We start from the raw sequence: 10,159 nt of genomic DNA on the forward strand, positions 1-10,159 counted from the left end.
TATTATATATAATTCAGGTCTACTTACTCTAACCTAAGACCTTGAGCTGTTTTCATTTCTAATATATATGTATTAAGTTGAAATCATTATATTCAGAACAGGATTTTAGGCAAAGTCTGGAACTTTAAATGAAATCTGCAACTCATCCTATGGAAAGTGTCTTCTGAAAAAAGACGTGTTATACGACACATGTGTTACATTATCCACTGATGTAATTGGCATTCACTTGTTTTTGTTGGTTTCAGTCTGACCTTTCCTAAAACTTCTCTCTTTCATTTCCATTACTTTATTTGTGAGAAAATGTGGTCTGAAGGTTACACCTGGAGGCAAGAAATGCCATAATTCTAATTCCATAGTCTAATCCCAATTGACTCTCACTGGGGTCCTTGAAAATTAACAATTAATAATTCTAAGATTTGTACCTACAGAGTAAATCAAATTATATAGTAAACCTGGTAACATTTTGAGAAATAAAGCATTAACATATGAAGATTACAAATGAATAAAATGTTTATATTTGCTTTGAGCACCATATTTCCGAAATGACAGCAATATCTTTAAACAGCAGCTATTCTGAAAGGACTGTCTAGTCTTCCTGTCAATAAAGGAAGCTCAAGAGAAGAAAAGTCTTTGCTCAGTACGAAAAAATTCTGCTCAAGGTGTATATGGGAATAGAGATGTGCAATATGCATGGCTTACCATATACAATGAGAGCAGTTGTAAGGTAGAGCAGGGTATATGAAGATATCCAACACTAGTCTCAATTTAACTAAAGTACTGATTCATTGAGTAGTGGGAGTATTTTTAATTACGGTGTCTTGTATAGTTTCAGTAAAGTTTAGGAAAAATTGAATAGTGAAAATGATGACTTTGAAAAATCGAATAGTGAATTATTGACTTTGGGGGCAATATAAAAATATAACCATACATGTTGCTATTCCAATATCACATTTCTGCAGTTGTTACATGCATAGACATTACTGTTCACATGGCAGATAAGGACGAAAAGTGAAAAAAGTAGCCATCAATGTATTTCAAATATGTCAACAATTAAAGTTTATTATCTCAATTCAAGATGCCACTGTCAATGGTTCAAAACAGTATTTGAGGAACCCATTAAAATTAATTCCTTTACATCATTCTTAATATTTAGCACATTATCTTCAGTTTTCAGTAGAGCAAGAGAATAATTTTAAATGTTTTCACCTAATACATTTATGCTTTATAAAACAAAGTAGTGTGAAATAACTTTAATATTATTTGTATTTCTTTACTAAAGGCATTACATTAATAAACGTACCAAACAATTATTTTTTTGCTTTCATTCATTAAAGCGAAATTACATGTTATTTTAAAAATGTAAGTGTTAAGCCTTCCCTTCCATCCATTCTCCTTCCCCCATAATGCAACTCAGATTGCCTCAAGGACATGCTGTAGCTTTGTAAAGTAATGTTTTGCTGATACAGAAGACAATGATTCAAACATAGATTAAATTTCACTCTATAATCTTCAGGACATTTTAAAAATAGAAACTTGTTTGGAAAGTAGTGGTTTGGTGTTTACTGAACCTCAAACTTTCAGAAGGAATTTTTGATCTCTTATTCCCTCTCATAAATCTCTCAGCAACAAACCATATTTCAGTAACATTAAAAAAAAAAGATCGCAACTCTCCCTTTTACTGTACAAAGAATTTTCTCTCTTCTAGACCTTTTTAAAAGGGTATCTCATCTAAAACTCCATAATATAAGTATCTTCCTGGAGTTAATTATCATAATGCTTTCATCTTTAGGACAAGCGAATGTAGGAAATAAGACAAAAAATTTAAAAAGGAAAAGGAAAAAATTTTAAGATGATTTCCTGGGAGTTTCATTTTCTAAACTTTATTGATACTTGAAAATAATTTCCTATTCATCTTCGTTGTGATTTGTTTTGAGACTGTATGAAAGGTTAACTAATTTTTTTCACTTCTTTTCCTCCCATGAATCTGAGTTTTCCTTTGCAGAGCTGATTAAATACACTTGAAGGCTACTGCGATATTTTTCTGATAATCTTGGGGAAAAGCAAAATAAAACCAAAAAATCATGTAAACTATATTATACAAATAATAAAAAGAAGCAATTCAGTGTATGTGTTATACTGAAAAATGATTTCTATTACTTTTGTTCCTTGCCCCATTGCTGTTTGAGCAACTCTGCTCCTTTCTTTCCTCTCAAACGGAGCAAGTCATGACATAGCCCCCTCACGCTGACTACAGCAGCCTCTGGAAACACTGCCAGCGGCACCCGCAGAGCAAATGCAGCACTCCTGAGCGAGGACCACAGGGCAAGAATTGTTTTTAATGTGGGTGTACATTAGTCTCGTTACTTTTGAGTCAAATAAATATAGGAAATTAAATTATGACTTACATAAGAAACAGGAACTTTTTAAAAGTTTTTCTTTCTTTTTTTATTTGGTTGCCTTCATAAGTGGTTAAGAAATAATACTGAATTACACACTTGCATCATTTTGGGGAATTCCACTTATGATGTTTTTGAGGAATTTGCAGCCATTAGTTAAGAATTTCATTTATACTTTCATGGTTAAAAACAACTAAAAGTTAGGTATTCAGATAATAAATTGAAATCACTTGGAATCAACTACGTGTTCTGTGAAGACCATTATTCTTCAAAAGACATTTTATGTATCTGTTATATTGAAATAACAGCGAGGTGTTATTCAGTTCATACTTGAAAATAATTTACTATTCATCTTCTTTGTGATTTTTTCAGGTATATTATTTTAAAAAGTAGACTAATAAATTAATTAAACATTGCATTCTCAGGTTGTCTCACAAGTGTAAGAGTCCAAAACATCCCTAAAATAAAAATCAATTTACACATTTTAAAAATGGTATTGTTCTAGCTCACCATTTAAAATATGCTGTGTGTCATGGTTTATATCTTACCAGTCGCCATTTTTATAATTTATCAGTGTCAATATGTCCATTCCACAAAAGAATCACATGAAAGATATATTTCTTGGGCCAGTGTATATTTGGCCCTAATTTTTTTACAATGAGAGGAAGTGCATAGGTTTTGCATGAATATACATGGGACAAATGAAACAGATCTGTGATGAAGCAAATTGCTTGCATGTGTGGCTTTATCTTTATAGACAAGTGGCTTACTCAGTCAAGCATGTAAGCTGAACTTGACTTCTGCTCTAGAAATTATCCCAACCTCTGCCATACTGCCCACTATACCTCTCAACTCTGCTAGAACAACTTCACTCTGCACACTTCACTGTGGCAGATACTGTGCTACACTGTGTTCTAGACACTGCAGGTACCAAGGACATACCCAGAGGGCTCACAGGGCAGCAGGCACAAGTAGTTACAAAATAAAATAGAGGAAAGCATAATTTATAAAGTTTATGGGGATTCAAAGACCACAGAGATTCTGCACCAATTTAAGGGGGCAAAGGGGTAATAAGAATTTCTTGGAGGACTCTTTTCAATAATAACGGAGGATTCCAAATGGTGAAGATAGTGGAGAAGTTGAAACGCCAGAAAACCCAGGAAAAAGAGGTAGGGAGGAAGACTTTAATGGTAGGCTAGGGATAAGCAATAGGATTAGCAATGTGTTCTACCTTCATTTCTCAAGCAAGACTTGAGCCAATTAACCATGAGCAAGACGGCTTTGCCATGGTAAGACGCACTTGTTAACAATTAAAAATGAAAATCTCTTTCATATGACTGGATACAGCTCTTTAACTCAGTTTAATGGAGCATTCAATGTCAATATAATTTGATGATATTACTTAGGACTGGTTTTTATTGCTTTATATATTTTAAAACTGAACATTTTCTTTCTATATATGCAATAATTTAGCGTGTAAACTAATTGGGGAAGCAATATTCCAATTGGCCATTTTGGTTTATTCATGAAATGAACATGAGTGGTGTCTGTACTCTACCAAATAATTTGTTTATTCAGAGTAATACATTTCTGGAAACTTTATAGACTCCAATCCCAATTTCTCATCATTTTCATTTTTCTATTAGCATTTTTTGTGTTATTAGGAATCAAAACTAATCCATAAATAATAATGCTTCATAGGAATAGTATTTCATGTGTGTGATTCCTCTGGTCTGAAATGTATTGAGATTATGTCTGAACCTATGTCTATTTTGTTTACTCAAGAGAAGGAGTGAATTTTATCATATCTTTTGATTTGATGTTTTCTACAGATTTATAGCATCATATCACCATTCTTATTATTTATCAGAAAACAGTGATCATCCAGGTAAAATATTTTGCCCTCAAGCTAGTAAATGGCATGGCCATTATTCAGATATAGGCCTATTAAATTCCAAGCTACATATTATTTCCACTATATTACAATGTCTTTCTGAAAGAAAAACTATAAGTAAGAACTCACATGCAAAATTGCAGTGTTTCGTTTACATATAGACAAACAAAATTATTTCTGGGATTCATTTATCACTGGTGTTTGTTTATCCTTTTAGGTTGGACATAGTGAAATTTTAAGGTCTTAAACAGGCATTGCCTATTTCATAAACAAAAGAAAGCAGTTAACAGATATTCACTCAGATCATATGTATCCTGAAATTGGTAAGGCACTAAATATTTCACATCAACAGGGATAAAAGCTCAGCAGTGTTTGGGTTTGGAACATCCAACATTTTTTTCCCAAATCTGAAATTCATTTTGCCAAGGAATTTTTCCCTTAATTTTAAAACCATGTTTTGTGTAAAAGATAATAGAGAAATAAAATTCAAATATTTCTGATTCATTTATGGTCAGGCTCATAGATACAAAAGTATCTCAAGCACTAAATAAAGCATTTGGACTTTTTAAACAAATACAATGTTTAATAGAGTGGGGTGTAAATTTATTCAATATTAAAGAACTTAGGGTTAATTTAAAACCCAGGAACTATAGATAACATATGTCACACAGAAGTAAGGAAGAAGGGCAGGAAGAAAAGCTGGAGTGAAAGGATAGAGAGAGGAAGGAAAAGGGACGGGGAAAGGATAAAAGGAAGAAAAGAAATAAAAAGAGAGATGGAAGATAATTATGTCTCTGTTATTTTCATACTGCTTTATGATTTTAAATATACTTTCATACTTATTACTTCATATTTCCTCTACTTTTCAGGTATACTACTTCATATTTCCTAACAGCTTCGAGTGTGATGTCACAATTTCCATTTTATAGCTAACTGAAGAGCTGCAGATTGTTTATGTGAACAGCTTAAGGTCACACAGGGAGTTGAAAGACAGCTCCCTTAAAATCTTTCTGAAACAATTTGGCCTATAAATGGTAGTGCAGCTGTGATTTTAATCAAATCTTCTTAAGCAAGGGCAGAGCTGTACCTTTTGCACAGTGGTTCTCAACTTGAGGGTGCCTCAGACTAACCTGGAGGCCTTGTTAAAACACAGATTGCTAAGCCCCATCCCCAGAGGCTCTGACTCAGGAGCCCCAGAGTAAGGCCCAAGAACTTACACCTCTCTCAAGTCCTCGGGTGAGACTGATGCTGCTAGTCAGGAGACCGTCTTTGGAAACTGCCAATTTTGCCAACCTTCTGGAGCTTTGGCCTCTGTGTAGGGGTGAGCCACTGGGATGCGATGTGAGCCACTACTGCTCGCATCATACGTGAGCTAAGACTAGAAATAGGAGCTTAAATTTAGAATAAAATCTGATTTTTTTCTCCCTCATTTTTAGACTTTACACCAGGAAGAGTTCCTTTTAAAATTGGCCTGGGTGGCAGAGGTCAGAACATACACAATTCAACAACAACTTGCGCCACCCACCTCCAATTCCCTGCTCTACAGGACCATCCTGACTTCCACAGTGACCCGAGCACTGGCATTCCAAGGACTCAAATGACCACCTTCCTCGCCCTTCAATAAGGTTGCCTGGAATTCTTCTAAGTAACACTTATTCCTACACATTAGGGATTTTTCACCTCACATTTCCCTTGCCCAAGAGCAAAAAGCTCAGGGAATGATTGGCTTTTCAAGCTAAAGAGTGGGAGAGTCTGGGGCGGTTGAAGACAGTCTGGGTAGCATTTGAGGGGAGGAGAAATGCAAGTCCAGAGGTGGGGCTGCGGGGCAGGAGGGAGTGGATAGCCAGAGTAATAGGGCTACGGTGTTTGGAAGATGTGGGAGAAACATTCTGGAAAGACAGAGGGGAGGCACAAAGACAAAGGTGGCTTGCTTGCTCCAACAGCTGAGTTTACCCTGACAGGCTTCTGTGTTCACAGTGCCACCCTACCCTCCCAGCCCTAGAGGTGAACCGGTTGATGGGTCAATCTTGAGTAGGTCAGATTAATTTTTTTCAGGGCAAAGGAAAACACTGAAAAAAAGAGCTTAGCTAATGTTTCCAGGGCACCTTGAGAAAAGTATAATCTATAGGAAATGAGAGTATTGATAATATTAGACCCTAAATAATACTAAAACCATTTGAGTAAAAAACAATGATAAGACTTTGGGGCTGCAGGACTATGTCTCTGAGTCTGGGGCCTGTTCAAGAAGTCCTGCAAGAAAGGAGAGCCAGTTTTACCTTTAGAAAAGCTCCTGTACTATTTTCTTAGTTTGTAACTTTAACAGACAAAAGTTCAAGTTCTTCATCCCGAGTCGGGGTGATGTGAGGAAACTGTGACTGTGAATCTCACTGTCGTTTATTTTTCTTCAGTATCTCTCAGTGAAGAAAGTATTTGGATGAATGACAGAAAGCATCCTGAACTGTGCACCTGCAAAAGATATTTCACACATTCCTTTTTGGACATTTTGTTATTTTCCTCTAAGCCGATAGCCTTTCCATCTTGTGCAGGAAAGATCATTAAGTATTTCATAGGCATAAACATTTCATGTTCAAAACTTTTGGTACTTCAGTTGTAATATTGTTATTGTACTACATAAATCTAAAATAAAACCAGCTTCTCTGCCCAGTACCTATCAGCTGCAATTTAGGGGAAGTGCCTTTATATTTATATCCTATGGGCCCAATCAGGTAGAAAGAGAATTATTCTTTATCTTGTCTAATGTCCCCAAATCTCCCAGGTCCCAAGTCACAGAAAGGCAATGTGGTAGCATTCTTCTGGGGACTCATCAGATATATCCTCAAAGTACTTTTGTCAAATACATTATTCTAATCAATGTGAATCCTAAAATGTTATTATTAATAGTATAGTTATATGTTGTCAATTTTTTTTGGAATATGAATCATTTTTGTAAGTAATATGTCATTTGATTGTCTCAAAAATTCTATCAAGTTATCCCATTTTGTGGGTCAAAGAACTAAGGTTCAGGAACATGAAGGGACTTGCTTCAATTAATTGGTCAGGATGTGATGGCGGGGAGATTTGGAGAGGCTCCAGGGTCCAAGGTTGAGCCTTTGTGCTATTCTATGTCACTTGGCTTCTGGCAGAGCACAGATCTTAGATGTTTAGCTCTTCAGTCACAGGATGGAGAGGAGGGAAAGTCAGAAGCACGGAGGCGGTCCTGTTGTGTAGCACTGATTTTCAGAATCTTCCCCCAACACTTCATCTTCCTCCTTGTTCTTTTCCTGGCCAAGCCTTAATTGACCAGTTCTACTTCTAGTTAAGGACCAATTCCTTCTGGCCCAGTGCTACAAGGACATTAGCAATCCCACTCCTTCACGAAGCTGATTGTGAGTCATGCCAGTTCCTCCTCCAGGCAGAACCAGGTGTGGGCACTCTTTCTGAGCTCCGCATCGAACATGGGGACCTGTGATGCAGTGTTTTCAGCTCCCACTGGAGAGATGCAGAGAGGGCGATTTATCAGTGACAGTCAAAAAAGCTGGTTCTGCCTCTTTCTAGAGGCAGATGCAGGGGCCTAGATGTTGTTATTAATCATTCGTAAACGGTTCTGTGTTCAAAATAGCAGTGTTTAAATATTTCAGAACAGGTCCAGCCTCATAAAAAGTGGGTTATGGGCTGTCATGATAACATTTCATCTCCTTCACCATGTTGTGGCCGAGAGAAATAAGCTGTCACTGCCACTTGCATCCCTGACCCTCCAACATGCCAGGGCACAGCAGCCAATGGAGTGTGCTGGCAGCAAGGCAGGGGGGAGAAAGGCAGGACTACTCCATCAAGATACCACCATGAACCAAAAGGGCAATTTTCCCATATTTAGGCTGCCTGTTTGGGTTAACTATCAACCAAAGACCTTTGTTTTTAAACAGAACCTTTTTTCTCTTTCACATTTGATAAATAAAAGCCTTAGACTGAAATTCTTTCTGATTTTACTGCTTCCTTTAAGTTTTACCTCATGACATTTTGGATAGACTGAATGAAATCATAGTTTATTTCCCTCCCTATTCCGGTGCCTACCCTGCCCCGCACCTTTCCCACTTTCCCAGTTCTCGGAATCTGTCTGACGTAACTGTTTAGGGAAGATGGTATTAACCTGATAGCATCTGAGGAACACCTGCCTGCATTATCACTACTTTACTCTGAGTTAGAAACCCCGTGCCCTTTTCAATAACAAGAACAGGGAGAAACCATCGTGAAACACACCACTCAGAAAGGACAGTTTAGGCTCATGATAGGAAAGCAGTCTGCAGCAAACAACAACAGTAAAAAAACAAGAATGAATTTCAAAGAGTGTGGTATCTGGAAAGTAAACTAAATGCCATTTGAAAGTCAAGTCTTACACTTGTGTTTTCATCTCCCTCTGTTCTTACACAGCTTCATAGCTGTGAAAAATAGTCAATAATATTTGTATTTGCTTCTCTATTCATTTTTTTCTCTCCAGCTGATGATAATCTGGCTTTCCTCACCAATGCCAGTGCAAGTGAAATATTAAAGTAACCACTAATCTGGGGCTAAAATAGCAAGTGGACTCTGTTGCTCTGGGAGTAACCCCAACACTGCCCTAGTTTGGTGGTGATGCTTTGGTAGTCAATCAGTGTTTCCCAAGGGAAAAAAGTAGGATGCTAATGTAATCTTCAGTTCCACACATGCATTAGAATCAATTCCAAGCATGTGCAGGTTGTCATTCTTACTGGGTGTCTTTGCTAGGCGTGGACAGTGAGAGAAATTTTCGGTTTATTAGAGCGAATCCAATCCTCGGCTGGCCAAATAATGACAAGACTGCTTTGGGAAATGTAAAAGTAAGAGGCAGGCTAGGAGAGGGATTCCTAGAAAACCAGAAAAAATCTTGAGATAAACATCTTGAATTTCTCTATAGGTGAGACCTCTGGCATTTCTGAAAGAAGCTGAGGGTTCAACCAATACTATTAACCAAGACAATGAAATGAGGACACTATTAAGAACTAGGAAGAAACAGGGAGACTCACATGTCTAACTGGACCCGTTTATATTTGACATGTAGAGTCTATAGTAAGACTTCTGATTTTGAGGAATTCTTAACAAATTTTCTATAAAAACACCAAAATTCTAAAGCTAGGAGCCAGGTTTCTTGCACACTTTTCACAAATAATCTTTTAATTATTATTATTATTTAGTTTTTGATTTGGAAAAGAAAAATGCCATTCTACCTTTAGGCAGTTGGCTCAAAATGCTCAGCTCTGAGAAGAGGAGGAAAAGAAATGAAGATTTAGAGATTTTAGAGACAGAAGGATTTCTCTTAATAATATTCTTCCTCATTGGAACCTTTTTGGCCATTACAACTGTTATATTATGGTTTTGTATGTATCCGTTTCAGGTTATGCCCCTCCATCATCTGATCATCTTTTCCTTAAGAGCAGAGATTGTGCCTTATTCATTATATGCCCTTTAAAGCACTTAGCAGTAGTTTCCAGTAAGTGTTTAATGAATATACATAATCTTTGCCCAAATGCTCTAGAGAAAAAAAAGAGCCTGGGGCATAATATTATGTGTTAGTACTCCATTGGGGAGTGCATTCTCAGGGAAGAAGGAATACAGATAAAGGGGAGAGAGGCAGGGAAGGGGAGAGAATAAATACAAAGGGTGCATGACCTAGCTGGCCACTGCTTGAAATCAAGCATCACTAATTGATCTTATGGAATTGTCTTTAGAGCGAACATGTGGATAAAACATCTCAGGACAGCCCTTCCAGGGAAAAGAAAGAAGATGAATTTTTTAAATATCTCCTGTCTCTCATTTGGCAAAGATTTGCCACATACATAGCTCCCCTGCACTTTCA

General features: G+C 36.9%; 1 long non-coding RNA gene across 2 annotated transcripts in view; it reads left to right on the top strand.

Annotated features, from left to right (window-relative positions):
* The window catches only part of LOC105377979 (uncharacterized), a 288,164-nt gene extending 279,903 nt beyond the window's left edge, over positions 1 to 8,261 (top strand). The window contains exons 7-8 of one of the 2 annotated variants that reach the window (XR_001744324.2): positions 5,727 to 5,915; positions 6,699 to 8,261. This is a non-coding gene — a long non-coding RNA (uncharacterized LOC105377979). Of the gene's footprint in view, positions 1 to 5,726 lie in introns of both variants that reach the window. The other variant, XR_001744323.2, reaches the window with a different exon arrangement.
* Positions 8,262 to 10,159: the final 1,898 nt, after the last annotated feature.

The sequence above is a fragment of the Homo sapiens genome, chromosome 6 (assembly GCF_000001405.40).
Source record: "Homo sapiens chromosome 6, GRCh38.p14 Primary Assembly".
Classification (NCBI taxonomy): Eukaryota; Metazoa; Chordata; class Mammalia; order Primates; family Hominidae; genus Homo; species Homo sapiens.